This window comes from Homo sapiens, chromosome 7 (genome assembly GCF_000001405.40).
Source record: "Homo sapiens chromosome 7, GRCh38.p14 Primary Assembly".
Taxonomy (NCBI): Eukaryota; Metazoa; Chordata; class Mammalia; order Primates; family Hominidae; genus Homo; species Homo sapiens.
The window spans coordinates 67897578-67921794 of record NC_000007.14 but is presented as its reverse complement, the minus strand read 5'-3'; the positions used below and the strand labels follow the sequence as shown (position 1 = coordinate 67921794).

The following is a 24217-nucleotide window of genomic DNA, read 5'->3' as shown; positions in this document are numbered from 1 at the left end:
GGGAGATCTTTTATTGCCCAGTACAAGGCTGACACTGCATTGGCTAAGCCAAATATCATGCCATGAGAAAATGGAACAATACCTTGGCATGGGAGATGTTAAGGAATTCAATTGGAACATAACAGGGTAAGAGATCATGCATTCATGTATCTAACAAGCATTCACGAATCACCCCCTCTATGTCAGCCTTGTGCTATGAGACAGAGATGAAATGATAACACCATCACCTCTAACTTATTCTTGCCCCAAATTCCAACTGAATTGCATTGAGCCTCAGACATAGCTACCAGTTTACAAGACATTCAGGGTCCAGAGGACCAGGTTTAACAAGACCTTTGGGATGTAATCAGTAAAGTTCAGAATGTAGAAAGCTATAGAGGATAAATGGCTGGGTTTATTAAAAAAAATAAATTGCAAATAAAAATGTTTTTAAAAGAGATGAAGATGGAACCTCTAGATTTAAAAACACTTAAGGGACACATTAATCAAATGCAATGTGTGGGCTTTAAGTGGATCCTATTTAATAAGTGAATTCTTTAAAAAAAATTTATGAGACTATTGGGGAAATGTACAAACTGCACAGATGGCTATTTGATAATATTAAAGAACTATTGCTAGCTTTTTAGGATGCAATATTGGTATTATGATTATGCATATTTAAAAATTCTTATCATTTAGACACGCGTTCTGGAAAATGTATAGATACCTGGGATGGGGCAGTATAGATGAGAAAAGATTGGCCATAAATAAAGAATTGTGAAAGCTGAGTGATGGGCACCTAAGGTTCATTGCTATGATTTCTATTTCTGTGTATGTTTGAGATTTTGCAGAACAAGTGTAAAATGGTGAGCATAGCAGACACCCCTGTTATCACATTATTTATAATTACTAAATAAATAAGGACCATTGAGTTACTTATAGTTGGGATAAGGCCAGAGATACTTACAACCTCTGATGTGTTAGTATTGAATTCCATTTAAGTACCATAGGAAATGCTTTTTCAACATTTTGTTTTGCTAAGATCGGCAGTTTATAGGGGTCAGGGATAGAGCTCTTCCTACTCATTGTCAAAAACCCTGTGGGTATATTCATGAAGATTTGGGTTTGGGGCTGGGTGAGGTGGCTCACACCTATAATCCCAGCAGTTTGGGAGGCTGAGGCTGGAGGATGGCTTAAGCCCAGGAGTTTGAAACCAGCCTGGGCAATATAGTGGGACTCTATCTCTATAAAAAAAAAAAATCAAGAAATTAGCCGGGCGCATTGTCCCAGCTACTCAGGAGCTTGAAGTGGGAGGATCACTTGAGCTCAGGGTGCGGGGGGTCAAGGCTACAGTGAGCCATGAATGTGCCACTGCACTCCAGCTTGAGCAACAGAGTGAGACCATGCTTACAAAAAACAAAAAGAAGCATCATGTGCTTATTTTCGAGATAATCTGATAGAGGTATTATAGGCCTGCACTAATGAAGATTTGGGGAAAAGAATGTCAAAGAGAAAAATGGGTGTTCCTTTTTTTTTTCTTTTCTTTTTTTTTTTGAAATGGAGTTTCTCTCTTGTTACCCAGGCTGGAGTGCAATGGTGCCATCTCGGCTCACTGCAACCTCCACTTCTGGGATTCAAGCGATTCTCCTGCCTCTACCTCCCAAGTAGCTGGATTACAGGCATGTCCCACCATGCATGGCTAATTTTGTATTTTTAGTAGAGACGGAGTTTCTCCATGTCGGTCAGGCTGTTCTCGAACTCCTGAACTCAGGTGATCCGCCTGCCTCAGCCTCCCAAAGTGCTGGGATTACAGTTGTGAGCCATCGCACCTGGCCAAAAAATGGGTGTTTTCAGTGGAAGAGAACAGACTAGTCAATCCCTAGGATCCAGAGAGAGTAAATAAATATGCCAATTAAATGTTTGATAAATAAATGAATGAAAAAATTCATGTTGGATCCACTGATCAATGAGTATCTATTAAATACCAGCTATGAGTCTCACTATGGTGAGAAAAGGAAGTTGACACCACTTTTTTTCTCTTTTAATTTAATTTAATTTTATTTTAGATTCAGGGGGTGCATGTGCATAGGTGGATTGCATACTGGTGGGATTGGGCTTCTAGCGTACTCATTACTAAGAGTGAACATGGCACCCGATGGGCACTTTTTAAGCCCTTGCCCTTCTGCCACCCTCTCCACTTTTGGAGTCCCCAGAGTCTATTATTTCCATCTTTATATCCATGTGTACCCATTGTTTAGTTCCCGTTTATAAGTGAAAACATTCAGAGTATGGTTTTTGTTTCTGAGTTAGTTCACTTAGGATAATAGTGTCCAGCTCCATTCACTTTCCTTCAAAGGACATGATTTCATTCTTTTTATGGCTGCATAGTATTCCACAGTGTATACGTACCTCATTTTCTTTATTCAATCAACCAAATCAACCACTGATGGACACTTAACGTTGGTTCCATGACTTAGCTATTGTGAATAGTGCTGTGATGAGCATAGGAGTATAAGACATCAACTCTTTTCTTAAAGAATATACAATTAGTTGCACAAAGAAGAGAAATACGTATTAAACACCAGAAAACAGGATAGACTACTGTGGAACTATGTGCTTTGTAGAGACATTTATTGCTGGGTAGAATTCACTGGAAATGGCTCCATGGACGTCATGCCAGTTACCCTAAATCAGGCTAAAAAGGGTAGCTCTTGGAAAGCAGAGAAAAGCTGGGGTGGATTTCAAAGACAATGCCATAGTTTGGATGTTTGCCCCTCCAAATCTCATGTTGAAATGTGATCCCCAGTGTTGGAAGTGGGGGCTAGTGGGAGATGTTTTGGTCCAGGAGGCAGATCCTTCATGAATGGTTTGGTACCCTCGCTGTGGTAATAAATTACCATGAGATCTGATTGTTAAAAAGAGTTTGGGACCACCCCCATCTCTCTCCTGCTTCCTTTCCTGCCATGTGACACACCTGCTCCCCTTTCACCTTCTCCCATTAGTGAAAGCCTCCTGAAGCCTCACCAGAAGCCAAGCAGAAGTTGGCACTATGCTTATACAGCCTGAAGAGCTGTGACCCAAATACACCTATTTTCTTGATCAATTACCCAGTCTCAGGTATTCCTTTATAGCAATGCAAACTGTGTCTGGACTAACACAGACAATAAATGCCTAAGCATGTGCACATGCCCATGAAAACCCAGAAATGGTGGGAAGGATTTGGACTGGAAGGTGGTGAAAATCCCACTGATGAAGTCAGGAGAAATGTCCACCGAACACATGGAATCAAAGGATTTCTGGATTAGGAAAAACCTTGAAGGTCATTTACCCAACACTTGAATCCTTTCTACAACTTAGCCTCTGGCCACCTCACTTCCTGTTTCAGAACAGCCTCCCACCATCTCACTTCCTGTTTCAGAATCGCCTCCCACCATCTCACTTCCTGTTTCAGAACGGCCTCCCACCATCTCACTTCCTGTTTCAGAATGGCCTCCCACCATCTCACTTCCTGTTTCAGAATGGCCTCCCACCATCTCACTTCCTGATTCAGAACAGCCTCCTGCCATCTCACTTCCTTTTTCCTATGTGTAAGAAACAACATAGATGTGATTTTGTGTCCATCAATGGATGATTGGATAAATAACACGTATATATATGTGTGTGTGTGTGTGTGTGTGTGTGTGTGTGTGTGTGTGTGTGTGTAATGGAATACTATTCATCCATAAAAAAGAATAAAATCATGTATTTTGCAGCAACATAGAATTAGAGGCCATTATTTCATGCAAAACAACTCAGAAACAGAAAGACAAAAGCCACACGTTCTCACTTGTAAGTGGGAGCTAAATGCATATAAAAGGAGTGTCGAATGATAGATATTGGAGACTCTGAAAGGTGGGAGGGTGGGTGGGGGCTGGGGGATGAGAAATTGCTTAACAGATACAATGTACATTACTGGGTACTTGGGTGATGGACACACTAAAAGCCAAGACTTCATTACTGTGCAATATTGCACGCAACAAAATTGCACTTGCACCCCTTCAATGTATACAAAACCAAAACAAAACAAAACAGGCAAACAAACAAAACCCTAGAGAAAGCCTCAGTGAAAAGAACTTGAGTAAACCCAAGGTACCGATAACCTCAGAAAAACAAATTACAAATTAAATTTAGGAATCACTTCTCCTAACCCCTTAATTTTACAAGGGAGCAAATTGGATTCAGAGAGGTAGAAGGCTTTCCAAAGGCCACACAGCTTTCCAGAGCTCCCTCCAGGACACTGTCCCCCTCCCGCCCCCTGCCAGGTCTCATAACACCTGGCCCAGGTCTCTACTGTGACCAAGAATTCCCTGGCTCTGTTTTGCGCCTTACTTGATTTCTCTCACTATGCATGAAAAAATGTTAATAACATTTTCTCTCCAAACATCCTTTCTCCAAGGAATAATAGATCAAGGAAAGAGAAAGGTTTGCCATTGTGGAGGGACATTATCATTTTTATACAAATGCTAAAACAATTCTGAGCTCTCAGCCTGAACTAAGCTACCTTAATCTTACCTGTGTCTCACACCTGGGGAAACTTGGTTTGGCAAAAGGAGTCAAATCCATTTCAAGTGTTCTATCTTAAGACTCTCAGTTTGCACTCAGTTTGTTTTATCACAGAGTGATAGGAATTAAAGGCCTTCGCTGCAGTTTAGGCAGCTTGCCAATACCTATTTTATAGCAATAAAATATGTACAAATTAAGGAATCTCATGTGGAAAATTCATTCAACGGCCTCAAAAGCCAAATGAATGGTAATTACTTTGAACACAATGTGGCGGCAATCAAGCTGGATTGGATCATGCTTTTAAATGTACGTCTACATTTTAAGAACGAAGATAATTATGAATTATGAAAATAACTAACAGAGACAATGGCACAGCAAAGCTGTTGTTTATGAAACATGAAAGGGACATTTTCAGAGGAGTAGGGGGAATGAGTCATTCTCCGCACCTGCCAGGGAATATTGAATATGAGACAGAGACAAAGTACAAGGCTGGGATCAGCTTCTCTCCCTAGTCATTTCACATGGGGATTCGTGCTGCTGAGTTTGTTGATTGCAGAGGTTGACGTGGGGGTTGGGGGATGGGGGGCAAGGTTTCCAGCTCTGTGTCTCACACAGTGTGGGAATAAATATGCATTCATCATTCTCTACGTTACAATTCTCTAATAGAACCAAGCAATGCCAAGATACCCAGATGAAAATGTTCTCTGGATGATCAGTTGCCAAACCCTCTTTCTCTAAATGAAATTATTTTGTGAAACATTTCTTGCAACACAGGGTCTGTGAAACAGGGTTTCTTTTGCCAGTTTTCCTATCAGATGAGAGACCCTGGGGAAGTCATTTAACCTATCTGTTCCTCCCTTTCCCCAACTTGAAGGTTAGGGAGGCTGGGCATGGTGTCTTATGCCTGTAATCCCAGTACTTTAGGAGGCCAAGGCAGGAGGATCACTTGAGGCCAGGAGTTTGAGATCAGCCTGGGCAACATAGTGAGACCCCATCGCTATAAATAAATGTTAAAAATTAGTCAGGTGTTGTAGTGTACAGCTGTAGTCCCAGCTACTTGGGAGGCTGAGGTGGGAGGATCATTTGAGCCCAAGAATTCAAGGCTGCAGTCAGCTATGATCCTGTCACTGCACTCCAGCCTGTGCAACAGTGAGTCCCTGTCTCAATAAAAGAAAAGAAAAAGAAAGTTATGGGATTGGCTAACAAATCTCCAACATGTTGTGTGTCTGTGCTACAATGCAGATGGTGTCCCTTGGAGATGTGAGTGTGGAGGCCATATAGACACCTGGGTGAAGAGCTGTTTGGGAGGAGTAGGCAGCATGGTCTTAAGGCATGAGCATGTCTAGAGTGCTTGGGGAGTAGCAATGAGACCAGGGTTGCTGAAGTGAGGGAGGGAAATAACAGGACGCAAGACCAGAGAGTTAAACCGGGGCCAGATCATGCTGAGCCTTGAAAACTACCGTGTCAATTTTTATCCCGAGAACAATGGAAGTTTGGTGAGATTGTGACTTGAGGAATTGTGTGATCTGACTTAGCATTTTACCGGGGTTCCCTCTGACCTGTAGGGTAAGAATAGACTGGAAGGGACTGAGGGTGGAATCACAGAGATCGGTTAGGAGGCTATGACAATCCAGGTAAGAAATGACAGTGGCTGGTTACCAGAATAGGAGAATTAGAGGTGATGATAAGTTGTCCAATTTTAGATTTGCAGGGGAAGGATGTAGGGGACATTCAGCAGAATGTACTGCTGTTAATCCTCCCTACCAGCCTTCCATATAACTGAGAATCCCAATGACCTCAAAGATAAATATAATCTTCCATCGTAACAAATGTTGGTGACACCGTTCCCAGCTCATGGCTCTGACATCTTCCATTTGCATTTTTAATTTTCCAGTAAAGCTTCAAGTACATATATATTTCTCACATTCAGTTTCAGTATTTTTGAACTTCTCTCTGAATAACAAGTCCTCACAGGCCACAAATGGCGTATCACAGACTTTTCCTGAAACAAAGCAAAAGTGACTTTTTTTTTTTGTCGAAATACCTACCGGCTTAGGCTGAGTTGTCTCAAAAAAGCAGAACCTCAGACACGGGTTTATTGTGGGCAGCTTATTTTGGGAAGTCATCCCAGGGAACAGGAAAGATCTTGGAAAAGGGACATGGGGAAGGAAGGTATATCAGCCGATGCATTCCAGAAAAACAAAATCAATCAAACTATCCATAAAACATTAGATCTATTTACATCTATTGATAAAATATTAAGAGATTTATTTTAAAGGATTGGCTTACACAATGATAGGAACTGGCAAGTCTGAAATCCACAGGACAGGCCAGCAGCCTGGACACTCAAGGGCGAACTGATGCTGCGGCCTCGAGACAGGATTTCTTCTTCTTTGAGAAATCTCAGTTCTTACTCTTAAGGTCTTTCAAATGATGTGATGAGGCACAGCTGTTACAGGAAAGGGGTCCCGATCCAGACACCAAGAGAGGGTTCTTGGATCTCATGCAAGAAAGAATTCAGGGTGAGTCCATAGAGTAAAGTGAAGGCAAGTTTATTAAGAATGTAAAGGAATAAAGAATCACTACTCCATAAACAGAGCAGCCCCAAGGGTCACTGGTTGTCCATTTTTATGGTTATTTCTTGAAGATATGCTAAGCAAGGAGTGGATTATTCATGCCTCCCCTTTTTAGACCATATAACGTAACTTCCTGATGTTATCATGGCATTTGTAAACGGTCATGGCGCTGGTGGGAGTGTAGCAGTGAGGACGATCAGAGGTCACTCTTGCTGCATCTTGGTTTTGGTGGGTTTTGGCCGACTTCTTTACTGCAACCTGTTTTATCAGCAAGGTCTTTATGACCTGTATGTTGTGCTGACCTCTTATCTCATCCTATGACTTAGAATGACTTTACCTTCTGGGAATGCAGCCCAGTAGATCTCAGCCTCATTTTACCCAGCTCCTATTCAAGATGAAGTTACTCTGGTTTACACACCTCTGACAAAGCCACATTACTAAGGGTAATCCTCCTTACTTAAAGTGAGGTGGTTATAGATGTTAACCATGTCTACAAAATACCTTCACAGCAACACCTAGATTCCTCTTTGATTAAATAGCTGGGTACCATCACCTACCCAAGTTGACACATCACACTCACAGTCATAGAAAGTGTAGCCGAATATTTGCAAAAATGGTTGCCATTATTCCCTTCACTGTGTAGAAGTTCTGCAATGCAGCCTTGTGGCTCTTTTCATCCAGAGATAGAGTGTATTTGAATCTGTGCTAAACTTGTGATTTTCTGGGACAAATAGAATGTGTCAGAAGTGACATTGTTCCAGTTTCAGCCTAGACATCCACAGGCTTTGCACACTTGCTTTTATTTTCTTGGGACTCTGCAACCTCCAATGTGAGGAAGCCCAGGCTACCCTGATGAAGAATGGGAAACCACAATGACATCCCCACAGAGGCTGCCCTAGCTTATCCTGTGCCCATCTGACTCAGCACCTGCCCACAGAATGCATGAGTCAGCACAGCTAAGATCAGCTAAGTCTGGAATAGATAAGCAGAATGCTCATCTATCTGATCCACACATTTATGAGCCAAATAAATGGTTGTTATCTTAAGCAACTAAGATTTGGAATGGTTTGCTATACAGCAAAAGCTATCTAATACAGAAGCAAAATCAATACAAGGATGATTTATCAAGCTAGTCATTGCTAACGGAAATTGGGGCTGGGCTATGAGCTTTAGGACTGTTCACCTGAAAGTCAGAAGATAAAAGCATTAACTCACTGATCCACTTCTTAGTTGGTCAAGGATTGCCCCATGGGGTGTTAATGTTTTCATACCTCCAGAATATGCGTGAGGAAGTGTCCGTGGGATTCCTGTATGGGTCCCATGCTGCAACATCAAAGAAGCCCTTGATGGAAAATCAAGACTCCTGTAGTGCACCTGACTCAAAGTACTGTCAATTTATACATTAACAAATCAGACAAAAAGTGAACTAAGGGGATGTAACATGGGGCACATGGAATAACCAGTATAGTTGCATGACTGTGAACTGTTCAAGCTCACCACTAAGTTCAGTCTGTCTCAGACCTTTTCAAGGTGGCAGGCAGCTGGCAGCAATCTGTATAAAACATTTAATATAATAGATTAATAGATTAATGGATTAGTGGATCCCATGCTCATGCACTAAGCTACAATTCCTGCTATTGCAACTGGTCTTGAGAGTGCAATAGATCTATCTCTTCAGTCGACCATTCTTTTAGACCCTCTTCACTTCGACCAGCACCTCAGTAGGTCCTGAATACTTACTAAATGGGATGACCTACAAAACCTTTTTGTGCAAGGGGTCTGAGACCTTCTTTGCTTTGCTCTTCCTGAACTGGATTTGCTACAATTGTACATTTCCAGCTACCTCTGAGCATAGAAGCACCAAGAGGAATCTTACTGCTTATTTTCTGCCCTCCTAGTGTGTAGCCATAGCCTCATGTCCTCATGGTAATCAGGAAAGTATTAATACAATATTTCTTCTAAAATTGAGATTTTTTTATTTGCCTCCTGGTCCACACACATGAAGAGCCCAGCATGCCCAGGTGATAGCTGTGGTTTCAACATTAGTGGAATTCTTACTGTGACCCCTAGTGGAAGAATTTCCTCCTTAGAAACCAGAACTTCTATTCCAGCAAGGACTAAGTTTGCAGGAAGAAGAATCATAAACATTTTAAATGTGTCATTAAGAGCGATAGTGAGAGGATCTAAACCCATTTTGTTTTGTGTTTTGTTTTTGAGACAGAATTTTGCTCTTGTTGCCCGGGCTGGAGTGCAATGGTGTGATCTCAGCTCACTGCAACCTCCTCCTCCCAGGTTTAAGTGATTCTTCTGCCTCAGCCTCCCTAGTAGCTGGGATTACAGGCATGTGCCACCATGCCCAGCTAATTTTCGTATTTTTTAGTACAGACAGGATTTCACCCTTTTGGCCAGGATGGTCTTGATCTCTTGATCTGCCTGCCTCGGACTCCCAAAGTGCTGGGATTACAGGCGTGGGTCACCACATGGGGCTCCAAACCCACCTTCACTGCTTGGTTCCTAGACCCTGGCATTGGAGTTTCTTGGGGACGTAGCACCACATATAGGCTTCACTGCATATACTGCATTCTGGAGGACAAGTCTCCAACCCAACAGGATTTTTTTCCCTTGAGCTGCACCTTCACCAAGACTTTAACAGATCATTTATGTATTGTATTAGAGTGGCTGCTTTAGGGCTGTATCATTTATGATAGAAGCAGTGGATCCCATGGTCATGCACTCTTTGTCACAACTCCAAAAAATATTACGTAGGTGCAAAAGTAATTACTGTTTTTGCCATTAAAAATAGTAACCTGAGCCAGGTGCAGTGGCTCTCATCTGTAATCCCAGCACTTTGGGAGGTTGAGGCAGGTGGGTCATGAGTTCAGGAGTTCGAGACCAACCTGGCCAACATGGGGAAACTCCATCTCTACTAAAAATACAAAAAATTATCCAGGAGTGGTGGCACGCACCTGTAATCCCAACTACTCAGGAGACTGAGGCAGGAGAATCACTTGAACCCAGGAGGCGGAGGTTGCAGTGAGTGGAGATCACACCACCGTACTCCAGCCTGGGTGACAGAGCAAGACTCTGTCTCAAAAAATAAAAATAAAAATAAAAAATAAAAAAGTAGTAAGCCATGTACTGCACCTGACTTAAGGTACTGTCAATTTCTACCATGGCAAATCAGACAAAAGATAAAATAAGGGAATGTAAAGTGGGGCACATGGAATACTTGAAAAGTAATGGTGAAAACTGCAATTACCTTTGCTCCGACCTAATGGGTCTCTTGTTTTGACGCAATGTGGTTGGTAATTCCGTATCAGTAAATCAGGCATTCCCTAGCCCTTGTATGGCAGTGCCAGCAGAGGCACCAAGGGCAGGGAAGACAGACCACGTTTGGAATAGGTAATAATTCAAGTAAACGTGAAAAACTATCATCTCTAGGGTGGAGGAAGATCAGTTTAATCAACTTGCCACCTAATAACCACCTTGAGGGGTTTCTCATGGATGGCACTGTAATACATGCTCAGAGCCAATCTCTGCTGCTAGCAAGGTAAATATTCAGCAATAGGAACAACTAGATCAATCTTGGACCCATGGGTAACTTCCCCATGACCAACTCTTTAGCCAATTGTACAAGCACCAACATAGCCTAGGAGAGACAACGACTAACACCTATCATCACTGAGTCATCCCATCCATCTGGTCACTAACCAACCATCGTGGGGAAGACGTTCTCTGGTGAGCATTAAAACGAGGCATCGACCGGGCGGAGTGGCTCACGCCTGTAATCCCAGCACTTTGGGAGGCCAAGGTGGGCAGATCACAAGGTAAGGAGTTCAATATGGTGAAACCCCGTCTCTACTAAAAATACAAAAAAATTAGCGGGGGATGGTGGCCCATAACTGTAATCCCAGCTACTCGGGTGGCTGACACAGGAGAATTGCTTGAATCTGGGAGGCGGAGGTTGCAGTGAGCAGAGATCGCACCACTGCACTCTAGCCTGGGCGACAGGGTAAGACTCTATTTCAAAAAACCCAAAAAATAATGAGGCATAAAGATTAGCACACGTGTCCTCCCACCTCTGCCTTCCACTTTCTTTTCTCTGATCTTTCAGTCTTGCCTTTTTATGCCTCCAACCAACCAGATAAGCCATGAGCCTCTGCCAGGAGTACAAGTACAGTTACAAAGTACACTGTTTACAGTTTTGCCCACTGGTAGTAGCCTCTTCACCCTTGTCCTTCAGGGATAGTCAGTTGTGGAGCTGTAGTACAGCAAAAGTCAATTTTCATGAGTGGAAACATATTAAATATTATAATTATATTATATATCAATTGCAATATTTATTATATTTATATATGCATATGATACTATTTAGTAATACATAATTATATAAAATAATAATATATAATTAAAAGTTGGGCGCAATGGCTCACACCTGCAGTCCTGGCACTTTGGGAGGCCAAGGCAGGCAGATTACTTGAAGTCAGGAGTTTGAGACCAGCTTGGCCAACATGGTGAAACCCTATCTCTACTAAAAGTACAAAAACTAGCTGGGCCTGGTGGTGTGCACCTGTAATTCCAGCTACTTGGGAGGCTGAGGCAGCAGAATCGCTTGAGCTTGGGAGGTGGAGGTTGCAGTGAGCTGAGACTGTGCCACTGCACTCCAGCCTGAGTGACAGAGACTCCATCTCAAAAAAAAAAAAAGATAATACTATATAATTATACACAATTATAGTAACATGATTATATTATATATGCATATATTACTATATATTATTACATTATATTATAATTATTATTATATTAACAATAATTATATATTAATTTATATGATTTATAATTACATAAATATAAATTATATTATAATGAATATAATATAACTAATATATTATAATGCAATTGTAAATATAATAATATAAATATAGTGATATGATTATATTATATATGCTTACGTTAATATATAATATATAATCATATAAGTATATATAGTATATTATATAATTATAGCTTCTGTCTGCTTCACAGTTCCCCCTTCCTCTTGGTCCCGTTCAAACTGGCACCCTTATGACTTATTCTATAAATGGGGGTCAGGGTAGTGTTTTCCCACGCCCTATATGCTGCCTAATATTAAATAATACTCAGTGTATGAACCTATCTGTGAGCCGTGTCTGAATGTCTCCTCTGACAGCTGATCAGATGGAATATCCACAATGCCCTAAGTATAAGCTTTAGAGGTACTTGGCATGGAAGTCTAGGCCATCAGTTCATGCTTCCTAAGTGTGCTTTCTGGCCTTGTTCAGATCCAACTCTAAATGGACCATTTCCATCCTACAATAAATTGTTGCTGTATGTACCCAAGCTTATGATTCCAGTGTGTTTCATAATTTTTAGCTAATGATGGGCAACGTTTTTCTGAGGTCCTGCGGTTGTTCAGTCTCTACTAAGGCACAATAACATGGCTGGAGGTGATTTTTCAAACAGCAAGCCGTTCTCTGCCACAGAGTGCATGACCTTGCTCCAGAATGCTTCAGGATCCTAGGGGTCTACACCGTGGCTTCCTATGGGGATCTGTGGGGTACCTCTAGTACTATGGAATCTGCTGGGGCATAAGGCCTTCACAGCAGGATGTCTTTCATCGTAGCTTCTGTCTGCTGCAGAGCTCCTGCTTCCTCTTGGCTCCATCCAAACTTTCAGCCTTATGAATTATCCTATAAATGGGTCACAGCAGTGTGTTCCCATGTAGTACATGCTGCCTCCACAATCTGTGGATGAACTAAGCACAGTGCCTCTTTCTTAATGGTAGGGGCCACATGGCTCACTAACTTTGCCCTTTATGCTCCAGACCACTGACTGGATCCATAAATACTCTACTCATATGGCAGAACTCTGAATTTCATAGAACTTATCTTCCATCTTTTGGCAACAAGTATCATGTTAGTACACCCAGAGTACTTGACATTTCCTGCTCAACAAATCCAATGATCATGATGTCATTGATATAGTGGACAACTATGATGTTCTGTGGAATGTCAAGAGGACCAGGGTCCCTGTGGAAAATGTTACCACAGAGAGTAGGTAACTTAACATAGGGCAAGTGGTATGTGTATTACTGTCCTTGCTGTGTAAAAGTTAACTGCCTTTGGTCTTCCTTAATGATAGGGATTGAAAAGAATGTATTTGACATATTGAGTATCATATATCAAGTGTCAGATGCTGTGTTGATCTGTTCTAGTAAACATATCACATCTGGGATCACAGCTGCAATTGGGGCTATTACCTGGTGAAGGCGATAAAACAGCCCACTGTCATCCATCATAATCTAGATGATCCTTGTTGATGAGCTGATGGGATTTGGTGGGATCACCGCACTTGCATCATTTAACTCCTTGAAAGTGGCATTTATTGTTTTACTTCCTCTTGGAATACACTATGGCTTTGGGCTTTGTGGAGGAAAAGTTAAATATTAAATTTGAACTCAATTGAACGTGGACACAAACAATGGTCACCAAGTCCCAAAAGAGGGGGCATGAGCCCCTTGAGGCATTCATCCAGTACTGTTTCAGAGAAATCTCTATTTCAATCTATTCCTACACATTAGTTACTGAAAAACAACAGACAGTCGCAAAAACAAGTTGATCTTTTTGTGTTCCTTGAGCCCAGTTGTGAAGGGCCCTCATGACTGGGCCTCATGCCACACAACTAGTTACAAAAAGAGCTAAGGTCCCAGACCGCGTCGGAGCTTCATGATTCCTCTCCTCAGCTGTGCATGAATGGGTGGCCGACTCTGGAGCCCAGGCTGTTGCTTCCCAGTCTGGTGATGAATCCTCCATAGTCTGGTGAGTATATATATATATCTTTTCCCTTCTCCCTTTCCCATTACAATTTGCTTGTTATATCATTTGCTTATTATATCTGCATTGCCATTTACGTGGGATAAAAGTTGTTTGCCCTTAAAAGTATTGTGTGTGACTTTTCCTTTCCCCTTATGCATCTCCGCATAGAACAGGCTTTTACTTGTTTTTTTTTTGTTTGTTTTTTTTAATAGAGGATCTTACCACACAGGGCAGAAAACCAATGTGAGTATTCCATGTATCCATAAGATAACACACTTGGAGGCTAGGAGGATACTTACAGGGTAGTTCTGTAAATCTCTTGAGCCCTCTGTGACATAGACTTGGGTCAAAGCTCTATCTGTCACTTGGTTTCCATAAGCCACCGTACTAAACAAGGGACCTTGTGAATGTTTCAGGTCCCCTGCTATCAGGATCATTTCACACTACATCCCACAGCTCTTGAAAAGTCTAGCTATTTCCAGTGCACAGTTAATCTGACTGCAGCTTCCTTTGGGAACTCACATACTCTACATGCTTATGATGGGGTTGCAGAATCCTCTTGTCTTCCTCTTCAATAGAGCATCTAGCTTTGTTCTGAAAACTCAATCATCATTACTTCCATTGTAGCAGCTGGCATCAGCTTCCTGGTGCACCAGCTACCAATATTCTTCTTACTCAATTTTTTTTCCTGGTTATCCACGTCACATAACACCCTAGACAACTTTCTGTCTTGTCTCTAGGAATGCCATGGTCATTGTGATAGATCCCTGTGGGTCGGGGCACACTGGCTGCCATGCCAACTTTATTGCCCACTATATTAATTAACTCTGCCTTGCCCTGTCAGTTAAATGCCACCACCAGGCTTCTGGAGTTCTGAGATTCTATTACCCCTGTTGACAATGGGAAGCTCAGCTTCATGGCAGCATCTCCTAGTACCAACCTCAGCCAACAGAAAACAGCTACCACTGAACCTCTCAAAGAAGTCTGTGCTTCCTTTACCATCATATTTCTTACTGTCTTGGTGAAGAGAGTGAGGTAAGAGAGAGTTTTTCGTAAAAGGATGGATTTTCTGGTTTCACATAATGAATCTTTCTAACATTCCCACCTCTCTCAGTCTTTTGACTGCTCACTCAATATTCTGCCAACACAAAGTTGGCAAAGCCACCTTATTTACTTCTATGGTTTGGCTGTGTCCCCACCCAAATCTCATCTTGAATTGTAGCTCCCATAATCCCCACATGTCATGGGAGGTACCCAGTGGGAGGTAATTAAATCATGAGTTTAGGTCTTTCCCGTGCTGCTCTCATGATAGTGAGTAAGTCTCATGAGATCTGTCAGTTTTATAAATGGGTGTTCCCCTGAACATGCTGTTTCTTGCCTACTGCCATGTACGATGTCTCTTTGCTGTTCCTTCTTCTACCATGATTGTGAGGCCTCCCTAGCCTTGTGGAACTGTGAGTCGGTTAAACCTCTTTCCTTTATAAATTACCTAGTCTTGGGTATGTCTTTATTAGCAGCAAGAGAATAGACTAACCCATTTACTAAGAACCATCATCCTGCATAAGCTTCAAGGAGCCCACCCAGCAAGATTGGAGGACTGGTTTCATGTGACCTCACCAAGATATTAACCCCTAAGTTATGGGAAAGTGTTCTCATATTAATAAATTTTCCTTTTTTACCTGTATATGCTACCCCACCACTAGCAGCAGCAGCACTCCTGGCCTAACACCACAAGTTTCTCTCCTATAAATCCTCTCAATGTATATTTGCTCAGTCTTACTATTCTTTTCTTTCTTTTTTTTTTTTTTTTTGAGACAGAGTTTCACTCTGCCATCCAGGCTATAGTGAAGTGGTGCAATCTCAGCTCACTGCAGCCTCCGCCTCCTGGGTTCAAGCCATTCTCCTGCCTCAACCTCCCAAGTAGCTGGGACTACAGGTGCCCACCACCACACCTGGCTAATTTTTTGTGTTTTTAATAGAGACAGGGTTTCGCCATGTTGACCAGGCTGGTCTCGAACCCCTGACCTCAGGTGACCCGCCCACCTCGGCCTCCCAAAGTGCTGGGATTACAGGTGTGAGGCACCACACCCAGCTGAGTCTTGCAGTTCTTTGGGTGAGTACATTATTATCTTCCAAAGCCCAAAGTGGCTGGGCTGGGCTATAGCCTGGCCATGTGAAGACACAGGAATGGGTGATACGGTGAGCAAATATCATCTTGCAGGGTGTCTTCATGTGAGCTTTTTGCAGACTTCCAGGCAAAGAGAAGCTGCTCTTCTCTATCAAGGGAGAGCACTGCTTCTGCTGGACTGAAAGATTCAGGAGAATCCAGGTTTCAATATTCTCAGGCTATCCAACAAATATCCCCATCTCTGTCTCAGGGTCTCAGTCTTTTGGGTTTTCATTTTGACAAAGGATACCTATCAAGGCTATGCAATTCGTTTTCTTTTCCTGTTCTGACCATAAACTGCTGTGCCAAATTTTCAGCACGTTTTGTCCTACAGCTAAGAGAGACGGAAATCTCTGTAAATGTGTCCATGAAGGCTTTCTGAGTTGACGGCTGACTAACCTGAGTCTTCTCATTTTATTTCAACTCTTCCAAAGCTGTTGACAGAAGCCAGCCAACTCCAGAAGCTTTATCATGACCAGCAACCTCATACTCATCAAATGTGCATGCTTGAAGTAAGTCGAAGCTTTGCCTTCTATTCAAATCTCAGCTTGATCCACCATCTGTGAGAGGCTTAGTCACTGTGAGCCTTCTGCAGGCCAGAGGTTAGCACTACCCCACTTTCCCAGTCAACGGGGTCCAGTTTGCACCTAACTGAGGAGTGAGGGATCAGGTCTCTGAACCCCATCCCGAAGATCTGCTTTCTAGAGACTCTTCTATTGTAGCCAATATTCCTATGGAGAGAACAACCTAAGAGAAAGACTTTGCCCAGGTAGTTTTTCATTGTTGTTTTGTTTTTTGTTTAAGGGAGTGAGGAGTAGAGGTCTGCGAAAAGTGTATCCAGAAAGCAGGGAAAAGCCAGGTGTGATGCTCACACCTATAAGCCCAGTGACTTGGGAGGCTGAGGTGGGAGAATCACTTGAGCCCAGGAGTTTGAGACCAGCCTGGACAACATAGTAAGACCCTCTTTCAACATTTTTTTTAAAAATTAGCTGGCTTTGGTGGTGCACACCTGTAGTACCAGATACTCAGGAGACTGAGGCAGGAGGATCATTTGAGCCCAGGAAGTCAAGGCTGCAGTGAGCTATGATCATACCACTGCATTCTAGCCTGGGTAACAGAGCAAGATTCTGTCTGAAAAGATTAAAAATAAATAAAGAAATAAAAATAAAGGAGCAAAGGCAGATATAGGAGTATGCCTGTGGGCTGGTCCTCCCTTCAGCAGGCACCTGAGTCTTGGTCCCTCTGAGATCCTTTTAGTCAGTGTGATGGTCAATAACAGGTGTCAAGTTGATGGGATGGAGGGATGTCTAGATGGCTGGTGAAGCATTGTTTCTGGATGTGTCTGTGAGAGTGTTTCTAGTGGAGACTGACATTTGAGTAGGTGGACTGGAAGAGGAAGACCCATCCTTAATGTGGGTAGGGACCATCCAATTGGCTGCAGAAGCGGCCAGAACAAAGTACGCAGAAGAAGAGTGCTGAGCAGCTCAGGGAGTATCTTGCTCTTTCTCTCTTCCTGTGCAAGGCACTTTGCTTCCTTTCCTCCTGCCCTTGGACATCAGGCTCCAGGTTCTTCAGCCGTTGGGCTCTGGGACTTGCACCGGCAGTCTCCCAGGGACTCTCAGGCCTTCAGCCTCACACTGGGGGTTGCCCTGTCGGCTTTCTTGATTGTGAGGATTTCAGGCTTGGTCTGAGCCACGCTACTGGCTTCTCTCTTTCCCCAGCTTGCAGAAGACCCCTTGTGAGACTTCGCCCTGTAATTATGTAAGCCAATTATCCCTAACAAACTCCCTTTTTTTTTTTTTTTTTTTTAGATGGAGTTTCGCTCTTGTTGCCCAGGCTGGAGTGCAGCGGTGCAACCTCTGCCTCCTGGATTCAAGAGATTCTCCTGCCTCAGCCTCCCGAGTGACTGGGATTACAGGCATGGGCCACCACACCCAGCTATTTTTTTTGTATTTTTGGTAGAGGTGGGGTTTCACCATATTGGCCAGGCTGGTGTCAAACTCCTGATCTCAGGTAATCCACCTCCCTCAGCCTCCCAAGGTGCTGGAATTACAGGCGTCAGCCACCATACCTGGCCTAAACTCCCTTTTACATATACATATGGCCTATTTGTTCTGTCCCTCTAGAGAACCCTGACTAATATAGGCAGGTAGAATGTCCATGGTAGTGCAGAAAAGGGTAACATTTACCTCTAAAGCTTGGGCCAAGGGGCAATCATTTCCCCACCTTTGGGTTCTGGGCATGTTAGATCCTAGGGGTTTCCACTCCATAGACTGTCAGAAACTCTAAGACAGAAGGAGAGCACACTAAGGCAAGGCTCATCAGAGAAGTGAAGACACTGGAGTATTTACTCACCAGCTTCTGTCACTCATAGGTGGATGGTCACTCCTGTGGAGTTAAATCCAGGCACATCCAACTTGTGCCCAACTCAAGAGGTGAGCACAGTCCTTTGACTAAAGAACCCCACTGGAGACTTAGGAGGCCACCAACACGTATGGAACTTGACATGGTTTAGCTGTGTCCTCACCCAAATCTCATCTTGAATTGTAGCTCCCATAATTCCCATGTGTTGTGGGAGGGACCTGGTGGGAGATAATTGAATCATGGGGGCTGTTCTCTTGGTAGTGAATAAGTCTCACGAGATCTGATGGTTTGATAAGGTGAAACCCCTTTCGCTTGGTTCTCATTTTCTCTTGTCTGCCGCCATGTAAGCTGTGCCTTTCGCCTTCTGCCATGATTGTGAGGCCTCCCCAGCCACGTGGAACTGTGAGTCCATTAAACCTCTTTTTCTTTATAAATTACCCAGTCTCGGGTATGTGTTTATCAGCAGCGTGAAATGGACTAATATAGGACTTCTGCAGGTGACCTCCATGGTAGGGCACGGGCACAAGAACTGGGCACTAATAAGGTTCCTACAATTACTTCTGCCTCTTTAACCAGTATTGGGCAGGGCAACAGGTGAGGTCAATTGGAGACGTTGGTTCCAGTAACTGAACATATCTCCCAAATCCTTTTTGTCATCCTCTACATTAGCAAGCTTCTGGCAAAACTCCCTTCGCATAAAAGGCACCTCCAAAGCACCCCTCTGATGTGTCAGAATTTTCTTTCTGAATAAATGCATGCCTTTTTCATTCTCACATTCCCAGGGTTGTCAGTAGTTTTGAAATTCTCTTGTAAAACTACCGCTTTGAGCCTTTGTGCAGGGAACAGCAAAATAAATGCTCTGATTACTGCAAAAGATCAGACATGCATGCCGTACAAGACATTATCTTAAAGCCACCACAAAAGACCTCTTCTCGTTTTATTAAAATTGGCAGGCAATGCCGGAATGCCAGAGCGCAGGGCCAAGGAGCTTGCAAGGGCAATCCACACACTGTTCAGCGCTAATAGGCGACAAGTTCTGATATTCCAAGAATTTCTAATTCATGGCTGCTTTCACTTTCCCAGAGCCGATATCCAAATTGATTCTGCCTACTTCAGTCTCAATGTGTGAAAATGCTGACAGACAGAAACACCTAAGGGTAAGACGTCTGCCGAGTGATTGGTTAAACAGCTATTCATTTTGAAATATATCTTCGAGAAGCAGAATAACAGAGGGCCACGGTAGTGTGCGGCCCATTAATTATACAGTTGACAAGAAAATTACCCTTCAGATCAACGTTAGTGGAGACTTGGCTGGAAGGGGGGCGTGAGGACGGATGGGGGAGAAATGTTCAACAGGTTTATCTGCACAGCCTGCAGTGAGCGAGGTCCTCCTAGCTCAGGAAGGAGTGAATTGGTGTATATGTCACCTATAACATGCTATCAAACTGCAGGACAAGCCAATAGCCACTTAACAGACGTCCTTACCCTAAAATTCTAGCAAAGGATGCCCTGGTGTGCATTCAAGGACTAGCTTAGTCCAGTGGAAACAGCATATGAGTGAGAACCATTCTGCACAAGGCACAAGTTCCTGTCTGTGTGATCTTGGGATATTTCATGAACTGTCATAAGCCTCATAACTCTTATTCATAAAACGAGGATGGAAAAAGCCGCCTCGAGGGTAGTAATGACGAATACATGGGAATACAGGTAAAGCACCTGTCACATATAGGTGCATGTTCAATGCACACACGGCTGTGTTCCACTTTGGGGTTTTCCTGTGTTCTATGGCAAAATCCTGAGCACCTAGTTGTAAGCATGAGACCTCTTGGCTGTGTATCTGCTCCTGCAGCCCTCTCCAATAGTTTGTCCAGAGCCTTGGGGTTCAGACTGGCAGTTTTAGGAGTGCCTGCCTCTCTAGAAAGGGAGGAGGGGAGTCTAGACGTGGTATGCTGCTCCTCAGCCCAGGTCTAAATTTCTGGAGGGGCCCGGCGCAGTGGCTCATGCCTGTAATCCCAGCACTTTGGGAAGCCGAGGTGGGTGGATCGCTTGAGGTCAGGAGTTTGAGACCAGCCTGGCCAACATGGTGAAATCCCATCTCTACTAAAAAATATAAAAATTAGCCAGGTGTGGTGGTGCATGCCTGTAATCCCAGCTACTCGAGAGACTGAGGCACAACAATCTCTGGAACCCAGGAGGTGGAGGTTTCAATGAGCCGAGATCACACCACTGGACTCCAGCCTGGGCAACAGAGCGAGACTCTGACTCAAATAAATAAATAAATAGATAGATAGATGATAGATAGATAGATAGATAGATAGATAGATAGATAGATAGATAGATAGATAGATACATAATTTTCTGGAGGAAACCAAGCCTCCAATGCTTCTCTGACATCAGGTTGCAACCTCCTCACCACCCCCTCCCTCGCTGAGGACGGCCCCTCAGGCTGGCTGGTTCCCCCAAGTCCACTGCTGCATCTTGGATCCCACCTCCACTCTTCTCCGGAATTGATCCTGATTGAGAAACCTAGTTCATCCCGTAGAGGCCCTAGATCTAGATGGCACATTCAAACTGGGTCTTTGCAGGAAAATTGAATAAGAGGAACCATAGACACAACTGTGACTTTTAGGGACACAAGGGAGGGAGAGCTTAGCAGAGCTCAGAGAGGAAGTGCTGACTCAGCTGTAGCATTTCATGGAGGGATGCAGCCAGGCCATGGCAATCTTGCAGGAATGGAGCCCAGAGGATAAAGCCCCTGACTCTGCTCTGCCCTCTCCCATGGCCTGTGTCCAATCAGAAGCTGGAGAATGAAGAAGCCCATTGCTGTGGCCCAAGCAGGTCACTCTTCTGGGGCACAGACAGAGTAGAACAGAGAAGAGGGAAGGAGTCAATAGACAGCAACAAATACTCAGCCCCACACCACCCCTGGTGGTACCGTTGAACTGGAACTGGGTGACAATGAACTGAAACTGACTGGCCTCACAGAACATGAGACTCTCAGAACTCCTTGAAAACACTGGACAAATCCTAGGTGCAAGTTTTTCCAGCTCCATCTCTGACTCCAGTGGCTACTCTGGTAAGCCTTATTTTTTTTTTTTTTTTTTTTTTTTTTTTCAGATGTAGTCTTGTTCTGTTACCCAGGCTAGAGTGCAGTAGTACCATCTTGGCTCACTGCAACCTCCACCTTCCAGGTTCAAGCGGTCCTCCTGCTTCAGCCTCCTGAGTAGCTGGGATCACAGGTGCCCGCCACTGTGCGTGGCTTATTTTTGTATTTTTAGTAGAGACAGGGTTTCACCACCTTGGGCAGGCTGGTCTCAAACTCCTGACCTCACAATCCACCTGCCTCAGCCTTCCGAAGTGCTAGGATTACAGGCATGAGCCATGGCGCCCAGCCTCTGGTGAGCTCTTTTAAGCAGACTTCCTCCAGCTTTAAGTGGGTGACATGGCAACTCTTTGCCCTAGACCAGTCCAAGAACACAGCAGAGATTCCTATAGAAATCTCCTCATCTTTTATCCATACACAACCTGAAGTGTGGAGAGTTCACACTGTGGGGCTACACTTGACTCACAGGTGCCAGAAGCCAGGGACCCCCATCAACAGTTCAGAAATATATTTCATAAGCTGCCTTAAAAGGTCTGAATTCGGCCAGGCACAGTGGCTCAAGCCTGTAATCCCAACACTTTGGGAGGCCTAGGCAGGCGGATCACCTGAGGTTGGGAGTTCGAGACCAGCCTGACCAACATGGAGAAACCCCGTCTCTACCAAAAATACAAAATTAGCCGGGCGTGGTGGCGCATGCCTATAATCCCAGCTAATCAGGAGTCTGAGGTGGAAGAATCACTAGAACTTGGGAGGCAGTGGTTGCGGTGAACCGAGATCATGCCATTGCACTCCAGCCTGGGCAACAAGAGCAAAACTCTGTTTCAAAAAAAAAAAAAAAAAGTCTGAATTCTTATTTTATTTTATTTTTTAAAATCTGTATAAAGTGGCCAGGCACAGTGGCTCATGCTTATAATCCCAATATTTTGGGAGGCTGAGGCTGGAGGGTTGCTTGAGACCAAGAGTTTGAGATCAGCCTGGGCAACAGGGTGAGACCTCATTTCTGCAAATAAAAATAAAAATAAAAAAATTAGCTGAGCAAGGTGACCTGTGCTTGTATTCCCCACTACTCCAGAGGCTGAGGCAGGAGAATTGCTTCAGCCCAGGAGTTTGAGGCTATAGTGAGCTACGATCATGCCACTGCACTCCAACCTGGGCTACAGAGTAAGACCCCATCTCAAAAAAAAAAAAAAAATTATGGGTTACAAGTGTAATTTATGGATAGATTGCATAATGGTGAATCAGGGCTTTTAGAGTATCCATCACTCAAATAACGTACATCGTACTCATTAGGTATGTTTTTATTATCCACCTCCCTCTCACCCTCTCTCATGCTTCTAAGTCTCCATTTTGTATCATTCCACATTCTACATCCAAAAGGTCGGAATTCTGCTTCTCAACTTTAACCTTCTGGGACCTGGACTCCTTAATTTTCACCTAGTGTCTGCAACCCCTTTGCCCGAGCAGATGGTATTGTTTCCAGAATCTCTCTCATTGGCCTGGATTTAACTCCCTGCTCTGGATTTCAGACTCTTAGGAGGCTAAATTTCTTGCCCAATCCACTGAATCATATCCAGGATCCTGGCTGGAAACATAAAAAAGTAAACCTGGGCTATTTGAGAATTACATAGAAGGTTTACTCATATGATGAAAGTTGTTATTGGTTCTAGGCCCAAGGAGTAAGCTCCAGTTTTCCATAGCAGTAGTTGACTCTATGACTTACCTTTTTTTTCTCTTTTTTGAGATGGAGTCTCACTCTCTCACCCAGGCTGAGTGCAGTGGTGCGATCTCGGCTCACTGCAAGCTCCACCTCCTGGGTTCAAACGATTCTTCTGCCTCAGCCTCCCCAGTAGCTGGGATTACAGGCACCTGCCACCATGCTTGGCTAATTTTTGTATTTTTAGTAGAGACGGGGTTTCACCATGTTGGTCAGGCTGGTCTCGTGTGATCTACCCACCTCAGCTTCCCAAGGTGCTGAGATCACAGGCGTGAATCACCATGCCCGTCCTCTGTGACTTATCTTTGAGTTGGTTTTTCATCTTTCTCCTCTGGTCCCTCACTCCAGTTCCCTGACACCATTTTGCAGATAAACTCCCTGCACTTCTCTAGCCTCTGTCTCAATACCTGCTTCCCCGTTGCCTGACCACCTAAACTAACAGATATTCTTTCTCAAGTGCAAATTTAGGACTTCTGGAAGGTCCAGCCATTTCAGAGCCAATTCATTCCTTCTAATTCACACTCAAAGCCCTCTCTTCCTCTCTCTTCCTCCATGGTGTTGAGAGCACCTAGGATGTCTGGCCATTCTCTGACCACTATGCTCTGGGAATGACTTCTCTGTGCCTTTCTGTCTTCTCTCCAGCCGTTAGATCCATCCTTCTGAACAAGCCCCTGGAGACTTCCATGCATACGGTTTCTTTGTACTTTGGAACCAGAGAGGATCTCTCTAGATTGGAGGCATCAGAAGCAGTTAGGAAACTGTGGACCTGACAAAAGACCATAGCAGTGGAGATGAAGAGAGGAGGTTGGAGCTGAGCAAATCAAGGGATATATTAAGATTTAATGTGAAAGTGTAGGATTTAATGGCTGTGGGAAGGCATTGGAAAAAACAAAGGCAAGGCTAGGTCCAAGCTTCCCCTTTGGGTGCCATTGGTTAGAC

The 24217-nt window shown here is 43.7% G+C and overlaps 2 annotated features.

Moving 5' to 3' along the window:
* Positions 4146-4861: an enhancer, noted in NCBI's record as "OCT4-NANOG hESC enhancer chr7:67381921-67382636 (GRCh37/hg19 assembly coordinates)". NCBI's record gives its function as "activates a minimal SCP1, AML or CMV promoter by ChIP-STARR-seq in primed H9 embryonic stem cells {active_cell/tissue: H9 hESC(primed)}" and the evidence as "EXISTENCE:reporter gene assay evidence [ECO:0000049][PMID:30033119]".
* Positions 7470-8669: an enhancer, noted in NCBI's record as "CDK7 strongly-dependent group 2 enhancer chr7:67378113-67379312 (GRCh37/hg19 assembly coordinates)". NCBI's record gives its function as "activates an origin of replication core promoter dependent on BRD2, BRD4, P300/CBP, MED14 and CDK7 cofactors, with strong dependence on CDK7, by STARR-seq in HCT116 cells {active_cell/tissue: HCT116}" and the evidence as "EXISTENCE:reporter gene assay evidence [ECO:0000049][PMID:35650434]".